The 21,455-nt window shown below is 47.5% G+C and overlaps 1 protein-coding gene and 2 long non-coding RNA genes across 5 annotated transcripts in view; 1 reads left to right on the top strand and 2 right to left on the bottom strand.

Moving 5' to 3' along the window:
* PLXNA2 (plexin A2) overlaps positions 1-21,455 on the top strand; it is a 222,143-nt gene that overhangs the window by 121,424 nt on the left and 79,264 nt on the right. For all 3 annotated transcript variants that reach the window (NM_025179.4, XM_005273164.4, XM_005273165.5), the window contains exon 5: positions 19,714-19,814. In NM_025179.4, coding sequence (NP_079455.3) covers positions 19,714-19,814 — 101 coding nt within the window. The remainder of the gene's footprint in view (positions 1-19,713; positions 19,815-21,455) is intronic.
* On the bottom strand, positions 1,779-3,553 carry LOC124904499 (uncharacterized). The gene is made up of 3 exons (XR_007066849.1): positions 3,466-3,553; positions 2,363-2,474; positions 1,779-1,863 (listed from the first exon to the last, which is right to left on the bottom strand). It is a non-coding gene; the product is annotated as an uncharacterized LOC124904499 (long non-coding RNA).
* On the bottom strand, positions 12,171-16,071 carry LOC105372887 (uncharacterized). The gene is made up of 4 exons (XR_007066850.1): positions 16,002-16,071; positions 13,103-13,221; positions 12,608-12,677; positions 12,171-12,214 (listed from the first exon to the last, which is right to left on the bottom strand). It is a non-coding gene; the product is annotated as an uncharacterized LOC105372887 (long non-coding RNA).

Raw genomic sequence — 21,455 nt, 5'->3', positions numbered from 1 at the left:
GCGCAATCTAGTTTGGTGAATTTTTTGGTGTGTGAATTATCTCATTAAAGCTCTTATATTAAAAATCTTGGGAAGATCATGTCCTAATTGTCTGGCTATTCCAGCACCTCTCCTTCCCCTGGCAACCACCACCCAAAGAGGAAGTGGATGCTGCACCATGGATGACATCAATGTGTACATCTAAGGGTTCTGCCATCCTTATTCTCTGTTCCTCTTCCCTTCTTCCTGCTTTCTTCCCCCTGCCTTGTTCTCCTATTATTTCCTATTCCTTCTATCTCCCTTCTCCTTTTTTCCTTATTTTCCTACTGATCTCACCATCCAATGGGTGCATCTCACGGGCTTTCCTTAACCCTAGGAAGCTGAAAGGGGCATGGAAGAGGGAACAAGAGAGAGTGAAATTTAACAATCACCATAATAATAAAGCGTTAATATTATTAAAAATTATTATTATAGCTGTCCAGAACTTAATTTAATCTTCACAACATTCCTATTAGGGAGATAATCATCCACATTTTATAGATTAAGACGTTTTTATGGATAAAGATGAAGAAATAACACTAACATGCTCAAGAAAACCCAGCAAATCAGAGGCAAAAACAGAATTCAAACCAGGGTCTGTCTGGCCTCAGAGCCTATTCTCCAAAGCATGATAGAACCTTAAATATGAGGCTGGGCCTGGTTATTTATTGATGAATTATAATAGAAGTAATTTGATGGGGTTCCAAACTGCAGTATCTAGGATCTCATCTGTTGGTCTGATATTTATAGCCGTTTATGGGTGATATCTGTGTGGCTCTTCCATTCATTATGGTTTTCATTAAGACTCTAATCCTGTTTAGAAGTCTGTTTGTCATTTTTAACTCTCCTGTTTAATCTTGGGCAGCCCTAATCTTTTTTCACTACCAGCCAGAGAGAGACAGCTCCTGATGGCTCTTTTCTTCTCACAGTTGTGTGCAGGTGGGGGTATGAGGGGAGATGAGTGTGGTGGGCCTGCCTGTCCATGACTGTGTGGGACATGAATGTGTGTATGGAGTATCCGTGTGAGCTGTGATGTGAGCATGTGTGAAGTTCGTGCATGGTGTCACTGTATTGGTGTGCACTGTGAGTGTGTGGTATGGATGTGTGTTTGTGTTCATGAGTGTGTGTACACGAGTATGGGTATGGGTTTGTGGAGTAATGGAGTACATATGTGTGTGTGTCAGGGGCTACCATTCATGATATTTGTATTAGTCTGTTCTCATGCTGCTATAAAGAAATGCTCGAGACTGGGTAATTTATAAAGAAAGGAGGTTTAATTGACTCACAGTTCTGCATGACTGGGGAGGCCTCAGGAAACTTACAATCATGGTGGAAGGCACCTCTTCACAGGGCAGCAGGAGAGAGAATGAGTGCCAGTAGGGGGAATGCCAGATGCTTATAAAGCCATCAGTTCTCATGAGAACTCACTCATTATCACGAGAACAGCATGAGGGAAACCACCCCCATGATTCAATTACCTCCACCTGGTCCTGCCTTTGATTACAATTCAAGGTGAGATATGGGTGGGGACACAGAGCCAAACCATATCAGTATTCTTTTTTCATAAGCACGAGAATTCTTGAGTGGAAACCTAACCATCTGCTTCTAAAACACAGAGACCATTTCGCCTCACATCTGACCTTCCCTGGTGTATAAATCCTCCTGGGGTGAGAGGGTTTTAGGGAATCCTGAAAGGGATAGCGATTGACCAGGCCCCCTCTCCTAAGGCAGTCTCGGAGCCCAGCTCTCGCTCATGGTGGACCTTACTTAGGTTTCCCCGGGGATGGAAATCTCCTTCCCAGCAGCATTGGTTTACAGAGAAATTCTTCCATTGGGCTCTTCATCCTTGAGGGAGGATTAGATTTGTTTTACTTTTTCGGTTATTAAGCGTCTACTGCTAAGGAATGAGTAACAAAGGAAATCTACATGGGTGACATCCCATATTGTGTCCTTCGCTGGCCCCAGTGCACACCCATAGCTCATTCTCTCTGCTTTGGTTTATGGCGTTTTCATGCCCAGGCCACTTTTCACCCTGCCCCTTTTCAAATCTTGCCTCCTCCTTGGAGCCTTGCCTGCTCTCAGACCCAAAGGTGATTCCCATCTCTCTGCACCCTCTGACCTCCCCTCACAGACATTATAAGAGGGCCCACAATATTTAGTACTTAAAAACATTCTGTCTCTGAGTCCACCAGGCCAGAACTCTGGGAGACCCACCAGCTATATTTCAACTCCCTACTTCCCTAGGGACTTCAAGGCTGAAATGATGGTTCAGGAAATGCACTACATAAAGGCATCTGGCTGAGGGGCAAGTAGGGGCTGAAACAAAAGTCCTCATTCATCTTACCAAGGCATGTGCCTAGATGGGGCACCTCTTTCAAATTGCACCAAAGTACCGCATTGGCAAGTGGTAGTCCTGAAAGGGAGTCTCAGAGAGTTCAATCTTCTTGTCTCAGGGCCTGTAGTAGCAGCCAGAGGAATGCTTAATGAAGAACCCGAAAAGTGCTGCCTGCCCCTCCCCATGCGTCAAAGATGAAGTCTGGCCTCACAGTCTGTCTTCAGAAAGCTTCACCCCCTCTCTGATTAATCCCACCCCACTCTAATCACCACTTAACTCCACATGCCCTTGTCTGGCTCCAGCTTAATTTTCACATCTCAGTATCTGCCTTTTAAGAGTCCTGAATCTTTTTTTCACATCTTTGTTATGCTCTTCCAACTAGTTAGCAAGCTGTAGGAGGGCAGAGAGCATGTTTTCATTTCCTTTGGTTTTGGCCACCTTTGTGACATCCATCAGAAAACTCTGCACCCAGCCGGGGCTAAATCAGTATTGTTGACACACTGAGTCACCAGCCAAAGGTGCAGAGACACCAAAGCCCTGTGCTTAGAGCTAGGAGCTGGGCCAGTGACCCCTGTCCCCAAAAGCCAGCTCAGCCAGGCGCCTCAGGGGACACAAATCCATCCACTCACCTCCCTCCGGTTCTGGACCTCATTACCCAAAGAAATGTCCCTAAGGATTAGAAAGTTCCGGAGAAGGCCAGGTGCGGTGGCTCATGCCTGTAATCCCAGCACTTTGGGAGGCTAGGCAGGTGGATCACTTGAGATCAGGAGTTCGAAACCAGCCTGGCCAACATGGTGAAACCCCATCTCTACTAAAAATACAAAAATTAAATTAGCCAGGCATGGTGGCACACACTTGTATTCCCAGCTACTTGGGAGGCTGAGGCAGGAGAATCGCTTGAACCCAGGAGGCGGAGGCTGCAGTGAGCTGAGACTGTGCCACTGCACTCTAGCCTGGGTGACAGAGCAAGACACTGTCTCAATAAAATAAAATAAGAAAGAAAAAAAGGAAGTTCCAGAGAAACTCAGCCAATCTCTTGGTCTCTTTCTGTGATGACATAAAGTGCTGGACAGGAAGAGGAAGAAGTGGCCCTAGCCCTTCACCAGACTCACCTTTCCGTATCACTTAGTGAAGGATTGATTTGATTTCTTGTGTTCAAGGGCTTTGCAGGGACTAGAGCTTCACCCCTCCCTGAAGGTGTGTTTGCTTTGGATCAGGGACAGGCCTGTTTGCGGACAGAGCATCCGGACACCTTTCGCTGGGTCTGTGATATGGTGGCTTTGTTGCTCTCCTAGACAACAATATATATGGCATGCCTGGCCAGTGGCATCAGGGAACATATCTCCTGCCACTTCTTCCTGGAGACCTCCAACCCCAAGCCCCTGGCTGACCTCCTCCACTTTCACCTTTCAGCCTCGTACTCCTGTGCCACCTCAGCACACTCTCCTGCTCTAAAAAAAAAGAAGCATTCAGGCAGTCACTAAATAGCAGTATTGATGCCCCATCCCCACATGCCCTGGAATGATAATGCATCACCCGTGGTGTGTATCCAGACGAAGCCAGATTACGCTCAGGTGGTTAAAAGTCCAGGTCTAATTAGAGTTCCAGGGAATCAAGCCATTGTATTATTAATGATTCTCCGGCAATGTTCTGATTAAAACAGTAATTTTAATAAGCACAGCTCGATGCTAAGTGTTCAGTGAGCACCTAATTACATCAGTTATGACTCCAAAATTATTTAAAATTCCGCTTTTTTTCCACCGGACCCGGCATGCACCAAATAAAATAGAGACTCAGACAACTTGGTGATTATTTGCTCTAATTAATATCCTAAGCACCTCTTTTAAAAAAAAAAGAAAAAAAATGTATCTTTGTCTCTCTTCTATCTCCCCCAGGTTCCCCTCTCTGTGACCCCCAGAAGCTCGATGACATTGGTTACATTTGAGGCAGCCATTCAGGGAGGTCAGGAATAGAAAGCTGTGAGGAAGGTAGATTTGAACAGTCCCCACACTAACCTCCAGGTGAGGGGAGGCTGCAAAGTGCTAATCCCCGTTGATTGCCCAGGCAGGACAAGACCCCGGGGTGGGGGAGGCAGAAGCACCCAGAGAGGGCTACTAACCTGGAGCCAGTTCCTGACTGCAGCCTTATCTTCAGCAGACCAGCTTCAGTTGTCACATTTAACCATCACGCTTGCATCTCCTGGAAGAGGGTGGCCAGTGGGTCAAGGGGCTTCCCTGTGTGGCTGTTCTCAAATTCTTCTGGCCACTTTCGTTGCAAAAGAGACTGCCTGACCTATTCACTCCCTGGAAGGACACCAGGATTTCAGGAAAAATGGTCTGCTGAACCATCTGAGGATTGGTGTCCACAGTTTTCTTTTTTTAAACAATTTTATCAGTAAGTTATCCATCTGTATGCAATAAGCCTGATAGTGAACAATGCGGTGCTGAAGCTCTCACTTCTTGTGAACCTCATGACAATATGCTAGTGAGGAACAGCAGTCCTTAACATCATCGTGCCCAACCCACGTGCTGGGAGATACCATCACAAGGCAGCTTTCTGCTGTCTCCTACTGTCTCTTCAAGATGTTTATCATGAGTAAAGTTTTGCCTGGATCTCAGGCAGGTGGCATAGCTTCTCTGCACACTTGTAGATAATGAAAGGCCTTTCGTCACTCCAGTCTCAAACACAGCCTCAAATTGGAATGATAATGTCCAGTTCCAGACCAGACTTAACCTATGGACTGATGTGCAGATTTTTTTCCTCCCCTTGCCTGAGCCTGCTGCATGGTCTCCAGTTACTTCTGTCTCTCTCTTTCTCATTTGCTTTCCCCCAAATGGATCCACTTTGTAGAAAGGAGAGGGGTCAGAGGAGTTCTTTCTCACATGAACTGGAATTGGCAGCAGATAGCCTCTGTTCTCAGGCCTGGTGGATATTTCTGACTCTTACAGGGCTGGGTTCTTCCTGGGCCTCGAAACTCCCCTGCTGAACCATTCCATGGCTGCAGCTGTCATCAAGAGGGTGGTGCTTCCTCTTGACTGGACACTGTCCTCTTGGCCGTGATTTTCCAGTTCTCTCCATACAGATGTCCGCAGTGGGGTCACAGCACCACCTCCAGGGGGTCTTTTGGACAGGTTGTAAAATGCTTCAGGCCAGCCCTCCCTCCTAAGGTGTCCACATCTGCTGCAAGGGAAGTACTTGCCCATCTTTTTAGCCTGCCACCATTGTGCAGCTGGGGTGGGAGCGGTGACCTCCCAAGTTCCTGCTTCGCTCTGCCTCCTGCGGGCTCGCCAGCCTACCCTCTGGGTTTCCTCCTGCATCCTCCTATCCACTTCCAGGTGGTCCTGTTGAAGGGTGGTTAGGTTTCAGCCTTCCAAGCCCTCCCTCCAATAATTCACACAGTCTCTTCTTTTTCATTCCTTCAACTCTTTTTTTTATGTGAGACAGAGTCTTGCTCTGTCATCCAGGCTGGAGTGCAGTGGTGTGATCCCGGCTCACTGCAACCTCCACCTCCCAGGTTCAAGCTATTCTCCTGCCTCAGCCTCCTGAGTAGCTGGGACCACAGGCATGCACCACCACACCCGGCTAATTTTTGTATTTTTGTAGACACGGGGTTTCACCATGTTGGCCAGGCTGGTCTCAAACTCCTGAACTCAAATGATCCTGCCCAGCTTGGCCTCCCAAAGTTCTGGGATTACAGGCATAAGCACCTTGCCTGGCCCCTTTAATCCTTTCATTCCATTCATCTGGGTCAGGGGATCCAGGGTCAGGGGCAGAAGAATCATGAACCTGAATCTTGAGAATCTACTCTGAAAAATTGTATGGCAGTCTGCACTTTACCTTAGAACACAGCATTATTGTATCATGGTGCCTTCGTGGATGCCTTAATTTTAACATCCAATAATATTTAACAAATGTGAAAACTGAGGCCCAGGGAGGTTAAGGGACTTGCCCGGTACAGTTGAGTATGTGGTGAGGCTGAGCTACGTTCTTCTGACCCTAACAGCTATGTCCTTTCCGTGACACCAAAAGCCTCTGCTGTGTTGTAAACATTGACTATTAAAAAATTTTAAAAGCCCTCAAGTCACCGAATGGATACTCGCAGAATACCAGGGGGCCTCAGCCACACCTAGAGAACTTTAGCATAGTGCATTTGATTAAAGAGCTTAAAATAAAACCTGGATCATTGGGCAAGTATAATTAGCTTCTCAGCAGGTATTTATAGACCTATTTCGTACAAGAAACTGAAGTGGGAGCATACAGAGATGTCTCATAAGAAGAAATAAAAAGAAGAGCCCTATAAGTAATCTAAAAAGTTACCTACCTAAGAAGAGTATAAAAAGTGCATTAGACTCATGCCAATTGGGCAGGCAGTCAGATTCTCAGTTCAGAGAGAGAAGTAACAAAGGTTGATCAAGGAAGACTTCCTGGAGGAGGGAGGGCCCAGGGATTTGCACATGAGCGGGAGAGGGGAGGATGTTTGGATTAGCAGGAATGTATGAGCAAAGGCATGGAGGCAGGACTACACAAAGCAAGAGAGGAGGCCAGCCTGGCAGGAGTGCAGTTGACATTGACCAAAGGGGTCAGGAGTGGAAACGTCAGCCTGGGTGAGGAGCAGAATTTAGAAGTCTGAAATGTCACACTGAGGTGTTTGGACTATAAACTTCCTGAGATAGGCAGAGTTTTCTTGTTGTTTTATATTTTATTTTTATTGTTGTGTTTCTTTAGCTGAAAGAAACTGTGTTTTGTATTATTGGTACAAAACACTGACTCTTGAAAGCCTTCCCTGATTTGTACTTCCCTTTTGCTCCTATAGCTTTTACCATGTCTCAATCATATTGCTAATATTTCATTATAGTTTGGGAGGTGTGTCTGTCTTCCTGACAACACTATGAGTACTTTGGGATCAAGGTTGTATCTGTGCATTCTGTGAACTTAATGTCTACACAGACTGTATTGTAGGTGTTTAATACATATTTATTAATAATAACTATCAGCTATCAGCAAGGTACAGGGCTTAGCATTTTCTAACCCATGCCATCCTTCATGTCTAAGAGGCGGTATGGTGTAAAAGTTGAGAACATGGGCTCTGTAGCCAGCCTGCCTGAGTGCGAGTCCCAGCTGTATAACTTACTGAATACATGACTTTAAACAACTTCACTGAGACTCTCTGTTCCTCAGTTTCTTCTTCAGCTGCAGATAACTTTTATACAACTTATATATATAGCAGTCTGGTGGATGAATGGATGGATGAATGGATGAACTCAGCGGATAGACTAATGATTGAGTAAATGAATGAATAAACAAGCAAATGCACAAAGTATATGTGCCCGGTGTATTTCTACCACATTCAGGTTGACTTGGTGATAAATCAAATATATCAGAATGCAGATTCACAAGGTCACGCCAATCAACCCACACTGACTAACCCCTGGGTACAAAGCACTGAGGCCATGTGGTCATTGCTGCCTCCATGGAATGGTCTTGATCCAACTGACCAGTCTATAAAGGTTCCCAAACCAACACAGAGGCACTGGATCCAGCAAAGCCTAGGAGCTTTCCTGCCTCATATCACCACCTTGCCAGAGTTGAATGAATGAATGGCAGGAATGAATAAATGAGCTCTATACCAAAAGGAAATTAAAATGTTCCAATGTAAGTATAGGAGACTCTTGTTTCCCCTTAGGCAGAGATTTAATACATATTCTTATCCTCCATCTCCCTCCCGCTCCCTCTATCCTTCCTTCCCTCTCTCGCTCTCTCTCTCTTTCACACACATACACACACACTCATCTACTCACTCACTGCCTTCTAGGAAGCTGTGATGGACAAGACAATTCTCTATAGTTCTGCCCAAGGGAACCAGTCACTCAGCATACCAAGAAAAGTCAGAGAGAATACTATCGGGGGGTCTGATGTGTCAGAGAGGACAAGATGCCCAAGTTTTGGATGGTTAGAAAGGAAAGCTGCGAGATAGTGGAGAAGATGCATTCCATGGTGTTTGCTGAAAACCAAAATTCTGTTTTACAGCATGAGGTTCCTGTGGCTTCTTACCTACTCAGAGTCATACAACAGTTTAGGCAGAGAGGTAGAGTCTGGTCTCAGATCCGGCACCTATGGATAATGCTGAGCTAGCTCCCTGCTTCCTTGTGTACATAGCTGTTGACCTGGTGCAGTGAAGAAGGCCTTGGGCAGTCAGGCTTTGCCAAATCTGATTCTGTGTCATACCATTTGATGACACTGTCCTCCTTATGTAAAGACGACCTGGGAACATCAACGTGGGGTCCCTTCATAACTGGGGAAACAGATTCTAAGGGAAGTATCAAGGATGGAAGATTAGAAAACAAGGAATCCCTAAGAACCCACACGTATTATCAATAACCACAAATGCCAACAGCAGAGCAGGAAGTGTTGCTGGGGACCAAGAGGCAAAAACTAGAGCTCTGTTGGGAGGCAGTGCCAGGGACTTTGCCAGAGGGAGCTAATTTTTATAGTATCTTTCAGGAGCAGTGATGTCCTAAAGGCCCCACTTTCCCTATTATAAAAGTATTCTCCCAAACATAAATTCTGAATCCTCATCTCAGACAACACTAAAGGTGGCTTCAACCTTCTATTCAACAACAGCAAAGATGCTCTTACCCGAGCTGTCTGACCAGCTTCTTCTTGGGCTCCTTCCCCTGATGATTTCCACTCCAAACCTCACCTTCTATGCTTAAAAAGGCCATAAGCACTTTACATTAAAAAAGGCCATTTGGGGCTGGGCACAGTGGCTCACACCTGTAATTCCAACACTTTGAGTTGCTCTGGCGGGCAGATCACTTGAGCCCAGGGGTTCAAGACCGGCCTGAGCCACATGGCAAGACCCCATCACTATAAAAAATTTAAACAATTAGCCAGGCATGGTGGCACATGACATGCCTCTAGTCTCAGCTACTCAGGAGGCTGAGGTGGGAGGATTGCATGAATCCGGGAGCCTGAGGCTTCAGTGAGCCAAGATCATACCACTGCACTCCAGGCTGGGCAACAGAGCAAGACCGCATCTCAAAAAAAAAAAAAAAAAAAAAGAGAGAGAGAGCATTTGGGATTAACTGGAATTCCAAACCCTTCTTTCATGCTCTCTTGGAGACTGGAAGGCAAGGGAAGTAGAAATCAAAAGGGCAGGGCCCTGAGATGGGGTCCTGTTAGGCAGATGCCCAGTTCTTGGAAGAAGTCAAGCTCTGTGGTAAGGCTAGACTCAGGCTCTGTGTGTCCTGGGGCCTCACTGGAACCATGTCTGGGCAAACAACCATTGTGGAATGAATGAGTAGGAATGAGTAGGTAGGGGGCATCCCTGCCTTATCACCCCACCCCATGCCATCATCACCTTTCCCCCTCCTGGGGTAGGGCAGTCAATGTGGACCCTATAAGGAGCTTTGTAGGACCTGGCTAATCCCAGGCATCTGGTCCCCAGATGAGAGGTCTGTTTTAGTTATTTCTTAGGCCCTAGTTCCCAAAGCCTCCTCATCCCCCATTTCCTATCCCAGCTGCTTTTTCTAACTGAATAAATCCACTGTTGTCATGGAGACAACACAGTATCAGCATCTCTGTTTTTTTTTTTTTTTTTTTGTAGGTCCTTCCAAAAACCAGAACTTCCTAGAAAGGGTCCTACTTCTACCTCCCTAGTATTTCTGGCATGGGAGTCTTCTCTGATAAAATATGGTTTGATGTTTGGAGTATCTGCCTTGCCCATAAGATTTCCTACCCTCTTTGTAGTTTTACCTTGCCCAAGTTTTACCTCTATCCTTAGCACGCTGAGCTTAATTTGACTTCTTTCAGCCAAGGATCCTGAGTTTCAGCACACTTCCAACACTGGGATTATTTAATAAAGACGGCAGTTACAGGGGCTGGATGGCTCTTCATGCAAAAGGGCAGACATAATTCTCCCCATGTCATAGATAAACAATCGTAGCTCCAAGAGGCCGGGTGGCTTCAGCAAGGTCACCCATCATAGAAGAGCAAAGCCAGGGCCCTCTGCAGCTTTTCCATGCTAGCACTGCCACCTTCAGTGGGGTCTGCATCTAGACACTGAGCATGGTAACTACCACTATTGAGCACCAGCTGTGTGCAAGTCAGTATGTACAGACATCACGTAAGCCTCAGAACAACCTTGTGAAATGGATATCAATGTCACCATTTTACAGAGAAGGAAACTAAAGCTCAAGAAAGTCCAGCATCTTACTTAGTGTCATACAGCTGATAAGCACAGAAGCTGGATTGGAAACTGAGGGCTGTCCCCTTCAAAGTGCAAAACCAGTACAAAATATGGCCTCTACCTGAAAACAGGTTTCAGGAGCAGTCACTGCCCCAGCACTCATCCAAGGGTTGAATTCCACTGTATGGGGCCAGAAGTTTCTTTTCATATTGTCCTCTCCCCTTTGACTCCTGCAGGACCTCTGCTGAGTTTTTATGAATGAGGAGGAAAAAAAATGTCATTGAAAAGTTCAACCAACTTTGGTCTCCTCTCTCTGAGTGATAGATAGGTTTAATTACTCTGAATTACTCAACCACTCTACTCTTCTCCCCCAAGTCATTAAAAATAGATTTTCTCTTTGAACTGCACTCCGCCCTCAGGTCTCCAGATAGTCAGGAGTTCTTAGGAGACAGCACCGGGGTCAGCTTCTGGTCAGAAGGTTGTGCATTGCTTTAGTTGCAATCACAGTCTCCGGAACCTCCAGCTGTTTTTCTGGGGTTTTTGTGCCTCTTTTTCCTTAATGGTGTTGATCACGTGACTTTCACAGCCCAGAGGACAGGCAGGAGGCTGGGTTGGTATTTACTTTATGAGAATTTAAGGGGATCTGAATGCATGACTATTGATTGTTAAAGAAATGGATCTAACACTGAGAACAAACAATAATGAGTTCTTCACATTAATTACTGTGAAGCTGATTCATAGGAAAAACCTAAGCTGAAAGTGTGGGCTCAGAGGTGTTCTGCTTCCTGATGAGCCCCAGAGATAGGTGGGACAGATATTGTCTTTATCTCAAAATAAGGAGATGAGGGCTTGAGGCATAACCGGAGTGCCCATGGCGACACAGCTGATCACTGGCAAGACCGGGACAGAAAACTTCTGCTGCGGCCACTACCCAAGCTGTGCTAACAGAGGGCTTGGTGACATTTTGTAGGAAGCTCAGATGGAAAACGTGGAGCCTGCTCACAGCCTCTTCCATTATCGTTCTGGTCCTAGTAAGCTTAAAAACAGAAGTCCAGCCAGGTGCAAAGGCTCACACCTGTAATCCCAACATTTTAGGAGCCAGAGGTAGGAGAGCCCTTGAGCCCAGGAGTTTTTGACTAGCCTGGGAAACATAGGGAGATTCTGTCTCTCCAAAAAAAATAAATTAAATTAAATTAAATTAATTAGCCAGGTGTGGTGGCACACACCTGTAGTCCAGCTACTCAGGAGGGCTGAGGCAAGAGAATCCGTTGAGCCCGGGAGGTAGAGACTGCAGTGAGCTGTGATTGCACCACTGTACTCCTGCCTGGGTGACAGAACAAGACTGTCGTTTAAAAAAAAATCCCTTAGGGAATCTTTCACCCTTCCCAATCTATGTCCCTCTTCACCTTCTGGTATCACCTCTCTTGCTGTCTGGCTCCTGATTCACCCAGCTGAATCACTGTTAGAAAACAGAGGGGAGTAAAATGAGCTAAGAGATTTGCAGTGGTCAGGCGGGTGAACCTGACCTGCAGTGTCCAGCAGCTTGACTAGGAAGCAGAAAGATGTTCTTTCTAGGAAGAAGAATGGCCCCGGTGGCCGCTTTTGGGGCAGCTCCAGGAGAAGGGGCCTTCCCTCTGCAGTCCTTGCCTCTGTCTGTCTGGACCCCGCTGCATCTGTGTGGGAATTAAACAAACTTAGACACCAATTTTGTTTCTGTTACCCTACAAAGGATATGACCTTACCTGCGTTACTTAAGCTGACACTCAGTTTTCTAATAGGTAAAATGGGACTAAGAATACCTCCCTGGAAAGGTTGGTGTAAGGATTAAATGAGGTAATCTATGTGACGTGCCTGGCATGCGGTAAATACTGGATACATGCAGCTGTTGTTATTATTGTTCCTGCTGCTTCAATCCATTCAACAAGCTCGGTCCACTGCCCAGCTCAGGGCAAGGTGGGGCCAGCCAGGAGCCTGCCAGCTGTCAGGAGACCTCAGTGCCCATCACTTCCCCCAGAACCTTAGGCAGCAGATCCAAAGGGACATGATTTCCTTGCTGCCTCCCTCACCTGCTCCCAGCAGGGGAGATTGAGATTAAGGTGTTGCTTCAGGCATCCAGTAGACATCAGCTCTTTCCTGCTGAAGGACAGAAAGTGGTGTGGGAATTTTTCTTTGGAGACTTGCTGAGCCAAAGGGGATGGAGTAAGAGGCATGTCAGGAGGGAGGGGGCCTGGACTTTCCCCAGAGGGTCTACCTTGGCTTCTCTGCCTGAGAGAATAAGGCCAGGGTCAGGGGCAGGACTGGGCCTCCCCAAACATTGGCCCACATTTCTCTCCCTGTGAGGACTCTGAATGAGTGTCAAGGGAAGCATAGTACACTAGGCTGCCAGGCAGAAAATCTACAGAAAATCAACATCTCCATGTTAATTGCACCCATTTACAGAAGGGCTTACAAGATTTGGTGCAAGCCTGTGAAGAAGAAAAACTCCACCCACCCATTTATTCCATCAGTTAACAGCTACTGGGTACTAGGAGCTGTAGGGTGCAGAGAAGCAGAAGCCTCACCTGCCTTCAGGTTGCTTCAAGCCTCCTGATCCCCGCTCTGCTCTTGCCTCGGATCTCGCAGTGGACTCCTGGGCCACCTTCTCCCTCCTCATCCTTCAGAAAGAGCCCTTGCAGTATATCTGAGAAGAGCGAACAGTCAGTCCCATCATGGGCCGTGGAGGATTCTCCTCCAGTTGGCCACTTTGCCACTCACTGCAAGTGAGGACTTAAGCGCTCTTTGGGGGCCTTAATTTCTCAGTAGATCCAGTGAAAATCATAACACATAACAATACCTGTCCTCTCTTCCTCTCTGGGGAGTTGTGCAGATCAAATGAGATAATGTGTGTGAAAGCATTTCAAAAATGCCAAAACCCTCTGCCAGGATTGCTGTGACTGCGTTATTGATCTCTGTCCATACAGCAGCCCCAGCAGGGGTCTCTCTTCAATCCACCATCAGCTGTGTGTGTAAATGAGTGTCAGATCTTTTCTTGAAAACAGGTTTGGATTGGGGGAAAGAGAAGAAAGTGGCTCTGAGACCCTATAAACCTGAAGGGGTGAAGGGGTGGGCCTGCAGGGAGGGACCACCAAGAGAAGGTAAAAAGGAAAGGAGAGAGGCCCAGGGAGCCAGCTCCATCAGCTTCAGCTGCTGTGTGCTCTGCCCTGAGCCCTGAGGACCAGGAGGCTGTTGATGAGGCCAACTGGTGCTCCATTCGGGCATCTGTGCCACCTCCCACCCCTGCCACCTGGCTCCCAGCCACTGAGAAGGCCTCTGTTTCTTCCCTTGTGTCAGGAGCAGGGGACACGTGTGAGGACAGGTGTACCATCTGGCAGGGCAGATTCCAGGGAAGATTCCAGGGAAGATTCCAGGGAAGAAAGAGATTAAATTCTCAATCTTGGAGGGGCCCACCAGCCTGGGGAACAATTTTCCCTTGTTCCTTTCATCCCTCTGTGTCTCTCTTGCATGATTGCAAAGAAATCTTGCAGATCGCTTGAACACTGAGTGCTCCTGCCAGAGCCCCCTGAGGTGAGCTGCCACTCTCTGTCCTCTGAGCCACGACGGTCCTGGTTCTACTTCTATTGTGGCATCTGTCCTACCATATTGAGATTATCTATTTCCTTGGTTTTGTTCTCAACTGAACCATGGGCTCCAGGAGGGAAGAGAATGTAGCCCTGATGCCTAACAGAGGGTTGAGTACAATGTAAGTGCTCAGTAGATGTTTAAGGACTAAATGGGCCTCCGGCATGATCCACTGTCAGAATCATGTGAGGTTTTCTGCTTTCACCTCAGGCGTTTCTCCAGAAGAGCCATAGAAGAGCTCAGAACCATGTGGGTCCTTCCAGGTGTCCATATAGGGTGGCAGAGATGCAGTGTTGATTCTCTGTCCCCAGGCTCACTTGGCAAAGGGCGCTTGTTCTTATGCCTACCATTGGGAAACTCTTCTGTGGAAAGGGTGATGTGTCTGCTCCTGATGGGAGTAACTGCCCAGGGGCTCTGTCCAGGATGACTCACTCTTAGGGCCTCTGAGGCTTTCCTGGCCTTACCTTGGATGGTCCAAACACTACAGGTGTGCCATGCTTTTCAAGACCTTCAGGAAAGAGGCTGGGTCCAGTGGCTTCCCTCAGTGACTTGTCCCCACTGCCTCTAATAATTATCTGATAATGTGTCTGGCTATACTGGGCCTGACACTCTGTGGGCTACTCGTGTGCTGAATTGAGAGAGTTGGTCAGGGAAGGAAAACTGCCCCACACTCTGCACTCCCTGCCAAGTCCCTCCCACATGTATCTTCAGCCCCGCTGAATCAGGCCAAGGAAGGCACCAGAGACGCGGGGCCCCGGGGCCAGGAGAGCCAAGAACACAGTGTGAGTCACCTTTAAATAAGAGTATTTCTTAAGTAAATGACTTAACAGGACAGTTATATTCATTAAAGGTGTAATTACAAGCCATAAGATCAAGCAGAAAAGAATGTCAAGCATGAGGGTGGAATCCAGTTTGAAGCAGCACTGCGGGTCCTGGGGAGAAGGCCATAGGGGGCAGGAGAAGGGCCTCCCATTGTATAATTCCCATTGCCACACTCACCTGCCAGCCCAGCCACCCCCAGATCCCAGCACTCAGAGTGGAGGGGGCCAAGGAGCCTCAGGCATAATTAAAATGCAATAATAGTAAACAAATGCTAATTAAAGTGTCATAGAGTGTCCCGTTAAACTCTGAGTCAGCCCTGACAGAGGGCGCCCGACGCGGTGGACACTCTCCAGGAGAAAGCTCCCTTTCCTTCTTGAGTTTCTGAAGACATCTCCCTCCCCACCCGACCCAGCCCTAGAACAAGTGCTGGGCTGTCACCTGGGGTACAAAGTGAAGTGGCTCCTGACTGCGGAGGCTTGAACTTGGTCCTTTATGGACTTCATAGATGCAGAATGATTAGAACCAATTTCTCACTGGGCATAAAGTAGTCCCCAGAGCACTGTTGCCTTCCCCTACACCCCTAAAATCCCTCTAATTCCTTCCATAGCACCAAGGAAGAGTGATATTCTGTTTCTTCCTGGCCCCAGGACCTAACATTTAAAAAGACCCACTCGGAGAGCTGGAGTCATCTATATCAGTGGTTGGCCTGCGTAAGAATCGGTTGGAGAGTTGTTAAGACCCATTTCCTGGACCTCTTCCCCAGTGTTTCTGATTTAGTGCACCCTGGATTTTCATGTTCAGTAATCTCACACGTGACACCAATGGTGCTGGTTTGAGAACCATACACTGAGGGCCATTGCTCCTTGAGGGCCCCAGACCTGCCTCATGGAGGACATTGTTTTGGCCAAGGCTAGAAGGCTTGGAGGCATCACATATTCCAGCTCTGTGGTCTTTGCAGTTCTTCCCATGGTCACCCAGACTCACATATCCAGACTTGCACCATCCCTCCCTTGCCCTCACCAAAGGTGTTTGAAGAAACCCTGCTTTCCAGTGTCTGCTTATATGGTTCTTTCCACCTGGAATGCTCTTCATCTGTCTAAATATTCTTCACCTTTTAAGGCCCGGACACATACTGTGTATACTCCGTTTAGGGCAGCACTGTCAGATAGAAATAAAATATGAGCCACAAGCATGAACTACATGTGTAATTTTAACTTTTCTAGTAGCCACATTTCAAAAAGGAAGAAGAACAGGTGAAATTAATAATACATTTAATTCAAGATAAGCAAAATATCTCTTCAACATGTCAATAAAAATTATTGATGTAATTTTTTCCCTTTTTTCTTTTCCTCTCTAAATCTTCCAAATCCAGTGTGTATTGTAGACTTACAGTACATCTTAATTTGTCCTAGCTACATTTCAAACTCAATAGCCGCATGAAGCTAGTGGCTATTGTACTGGGCAGCACAGATGCAGGCAGTGTTTTCTCGTTGCTCTGAATTCCCTCAGCCCTCTTTGAATACTTGTCTTAGAACACGTATCGCTTTCTTCTTTTTATTGCTAGCCTGTTCGCAACTTGAAGGTGCTAGTTGTGTTTTAATGCTGTCGTTGTTTTTATTCTGAAGTGCCTAGCACTGGCCTGGATGGAGGACACAATCAATGAATATTGACTGACAAATGAATATAGAAGCACATGAATATAAGAGACAGAGGAGGCTCCTGGGAACATCTGACTTTGAGGGTCTCCACCCGGTCACTGTGACATTTCTTTCCTCTGGTTTGTGTGTGGCTGTTACATCTTAGAGGACAGAATAATTCAAGTTTTAGACCACCCCCCCTCCACCCCTGCCAACTTACAAGTTTCCTGTTTCACTTTGCTCTTCAACTCAGTGCATTAAAAAAAAAAAAAATCACCAGGAGGGCCCAGGAAACAGGAAAAATAGTTGTGCTATTGGTTTCATGTTTGGAGAAGAACAGGGTTTCACTATCTCCGTGGCACTTGGCGTGAAAGTGGGCTTTGTTGCTGGAGACACTGCTCCCATTCAGGGCCCCTTTTCCCAGCTGCTGAGGGCTGGGCTGTGTTTTGACAGACGGGCCGAATGCAATGCAGACAGTTGTTTTAATTTGCAGCCAGATGCAGACATCCCTCACAAGGAGCCCGAAACCCAAGAAAAGGAGGCTAGGCACTGGACCACCATTCTCAGGCCTCAGAGAGTGGTTTGGAGGGGGCCAGCGGAAGCCTCCCAGGCAGCCAGGGTCTCTGTTATCCCAGAGGGCTGATAGTCACCAGGCCTGGGAGACGTACACTAGAAGGTCTCCGGCAGATACCTGTCTGAAAGGTGTTTCTTGTAGGCATCGTGGGCCATGAGGCAGGGTTCAAGGGTTATTCTTTAAGGCGGTGTGAATTGGTGGTGGTGGTGGTGGCTGCATGTTATCTTTTAACTGTAGAGTTGTACAGGACAAAAATCATCAACAGTCTCAAGGAGGAGTTAGGGAAACTGTGGGAAATAGAAGGCTGGAATGTCAGAATTGGCAGGGACTAATGTAGCCTTCCTCTGAGGGCAGAAATCCTTTCTTCCAGCCTTTGGGACGAATGTCACCTTGACTGCTTATGCATCCCTGTGATAGGCGTTCCTTTGGAAAGCCAGGCGGTTGCATGATGTTGAGCTTTTCTGAGCTTTTCACCCATGAGTCCCACTGCAGCCATACTGCTCCCCTTCGAACACTGGAAAACAGCCTGCATGACTACTTTGAGACTCTTCATTGGACTAAATAAACATCCCAGGTTCATCTGCTGCATCCCACCCCATCCTGGCCACCCTCCAGGAAGGATCTCTGGTTGAGCAACGCCTCTCCTAGGGCAGGCTGCGGAGACCTGAACTCCGGACTCCACAGTGGGGGGTGGCTTCTCTCGACCCTGATGCTGTGTGTCTATTTATGCAGCCCATGGTCAGATTAGCTTCTTTCGTTATCACCTCACCCTATCAGGTCACATCAGATTTTGAGTTGAGTTGACTTTGAGTCAACTCAAACCCTTAGGTCTATCACACTTGAACTATTTCAAATCAGCTATCCCCCGTCTTAAACTTATAGTACCAGTCTTTTTTAAAGCTAAATTGCAAGATTTTACACTCATCTCCCTGCATTTCATGTTTTTATTATTAAAGGGAGGTGAGGGATGTTTAAAGCTGATCATGTCACTGACTTACAGAAAAGCCTCATATATGCAATGTTAAGTGTGATGATGTAGGAAGGATGGGTGGGGACACCCAAGAGAGGAAAGGCAGGCTCATCTCTCTCCCCTCCCACCCACTGTACACCCTACACTTAAGTTTATACTGAACTTATCCATGATCGCTTTCGCTCATCACAATCCTTCAGATTGGCATGTCTTTCCAGGTCTCTGCATCTGACCCCCTCTTACCCTTCAAGGCACCCCTACACCACTGGTCACCTCTTCGCTAAGTTCCCCAAACCTTCAGCACTCACAGCAATCCCACACAACAAAAACTCAGCACAATGTAGAGCAAGTCTCGGTTTGTCATTACCAACTCCCACTGGACCGTAGGGTTCTGGGAGGGCAGAATCTGTGTGCTGTTCGCTGTCGTTTCTCTGTTGCATAGCACCAGAGCTCCACAGCGTTGACATCTGATAAACATTTGCTGAGTGAACAGTGTTAGGATCCATCCTGAACCTCTCAGGAGGATGCCGTGGAGATGTCTCCGTCATATCTTTTGTCCCCCTGCCAGAGGCAGAACACTGTGCTACTGGACCACAGGTTATGTTTTTACTTTTTACACATCTGGTAGGTGGGGGACCTCTATGCCCTAACAAATAAGAACCCATTCCCAGCACAGCAAATGTTTTTGCAGCCCAGCAGCCTCCTGCCCCAGCCAGCAACAGATACCTAGGACATATCAACTGGAACACTTCAGTCCTCTGGCCCCCTTGCCTGGTCTTTATTTTCACCCCTGCTGTGCAAGTAGGGGTGAGTAATATCCAGACAGGCCCAGCTCAAGCCCCTGCAGGGCCCCAGCAGAAGACCAGGAGGAGTGTGCAAGGGCTACACTCTCTGGGGGGCAGGGTCTTGATCTACAAATTCCCACTTTCCAGGCAAGACTGAATCAGGCAGCTCTTTTCTGTGGATGTTCCCATTTAGCCAGACTTTTCAAAGGATGGGAGATTTACTAGAGAAACTGAATGCAGACATCAGAGAATGGGATAATTGGATCCAGGTGGTATATTTGGTTGGCTGTAAAGAGTCTGTACCATACTATGAATATTATTTGATGGGAAAAGTTTCTCCTTTCCCTTTTTGAATGTTTTCTGTGTAGGCAGGATGTCTCAGCCCAAGCCCAGCTGAAAGCTCTTCAGAGATGAGTTTGTGCCACTCAATAGCCTTTCAACAGAGTTAACCATTTTCAGTACTTGCCACTGGCTTGCCCAGCTCTCGGGAGGATGCTAGTGGAGGGCAGAAATAGATGGAGCCTTTGCTGCTACCTCTCGCGAAGGCAAGAAGTCTTAGGGCTGCCACTCAGAGACACACTCGGCTTAGCCTACCTGCCTTATGCAGGTAAAGAGATTGGGGACATTGAGGCCATGACTTGCCGCCCAGTATCACCTCTTTAGGGGAGTTGACAGTGCAAGTGTGAGTACACACAGGACTGTGTGACACACACCTGCTAGTCGTCACAGCCTAACCTCACTGTACCCTCTTTGCTCTCTCTGCCAGGTCACCAGGGTCCCCGTGGAGTCATGTGAGCAGTATACGACTTGTGGGGAGTGCCTGAGCTCTGGGGACCCTCACTGTGGCTGGTGTGCCCTGCACAACATGTAAGTTTGGGGTATACTGGAAAAGGGTTTGGCATGCAGAAGACCGGGGCTTTCCGGGAATGATGGGATATGACAGTACTTTGCAGAGAGAGGAATTGTCCTCTTCAGAGCAGTAATTCTAATCGTGGCTTCAGTGTTGAGAGCAGGAAGAGGCAAAGAGGCCATGGGTGGGCCTTCTTTCTAAGTGCAGGGTCTTTGCCTCTCTTCTTCCATTTTACTTCCAAATTCAGCCCTTCAGCTGCTCTGAAGTGAGGTGCTTATATCCTTGTGTCTTTGAAAGAACTCACAAGGGATACTGTAGTCTTTAGGTTTCCCCAAAACTTCTTCAGTGTAGCCTGAAATGGGTGCCCCTCTGTGCCAAGAGTGTGCAGATGGTGGTGCACTGGCATTGGGAGGTTTAGACTCCAGCTAGCTGCTGTGTGACCCTGGATGGGTCCCCTGACAACTCCAGGCCTCTGTTTCTCCATTGCTGTTTAGGGAAAATGCCTATTTCACAGGTGAATTGTGAAGACTGAATGAAATAATAAATGCTTTGGTAATAAGGAAGCCCAGAAAAGGCTACACAAATCAGAATAATTATCATGGACCCTATACCCTTGGGAGGACCCTTCTGGTCTCATTATTTTATGATTCTAAGAAGTTCACATCTCACTTCAACTGGCCTCATGATCTGCCGTTGAATACCAACTCAATATAAATGCTAAATCACACTTAAACTTCCTAATTTGAAGAGCCCCAGGGGAAGAGAAAGGGTGAAAACCCCGAAAGACAGGAGCTGGCTAGGAATTCTGTTGCCCAATGGAGTTGGAAACTCCAGGGCTCCATGCCAGCTAGCAAAGCATCTCCATGAAATGAGCTGGGTTTGGGGTGGAGGCGGAGGCGGAGGGCCAGAGTTCAGGGTCCTGCACAATAGCTCTTGGCTTCCAGCCTCTGCGGCAGGTGTTGGGAGGGCTCTGGAGGGAGGGAGGGAAGCTGGTGCCTCACAGATGCAAAATCTGGACTGGATTTGAGCCCGTGAATACTGGGTTCCCTGCTTGGGTTTTGGAGGTAAAAGACTGCTCAGAAAGTTTTGCAGAAATGCTCTTAGCAGACCTGGACAGTGTGTCTCCATTTAGGTCAGACAAGTGGTAAAGATGCTAATGTTGTGCCCCAGAATGGCAAAAGGGGGTAAATCTTGGTTCCCTGCAGTGAGGCTGACCCACCAGCCAGCAGGCAGGGTCTTTCCTCGAGAGAATTTCTTTCTCCAAAGAACCTGACAGCCTGCTGCCAGCTCTGTGCAAAGGGCCCTGGGCAGCCTGCCCTCTAGCTCTGCAGTGGTCATGTCCAGCGGTACCTCCTACTCCCCATGCCTCCGCCACTCTGTCCTCCCAGCTTCAGTGCCTGTGGCACTTCTCCCATGTCGAACACACCAAAATTATAGATCGGGGATTATCATTTATTCAACAGCAAGGACGTCTGTTTTCCCCATCTTGAACAAGTGCCTATAGATCTATCAGCAATGCCTGGGCCTCCCCGCTGCCGCAAACCACCTGGTCTTCCTCCTGGTGCAGGTCAGCCGTGACTGCTGGAATTAGCCACATCAGAATAGTCCCAGGTTTCCTCTGTCCCCTTAACTCCTTAACTCTTTAGAGAATCCTCCCT

Source organism: Homo sapiens, chromosome 1 (assembly GCF_000001405.40).
Source record: "Homo sapiens chromosome 1, GRCh38.p14 Primary Assembly".
Classification (NCBI taxonomy): Eukaryota; Metazoa; Chordata; class Mammalia; order Primates; family Hominidae; genus Homo; species Homo sapiens.
The sequence above is the reverse complement of the archived record's forward strand: the minus strand, read 5'-3'. Positions and strand labels throughout refer to the sequence as shown.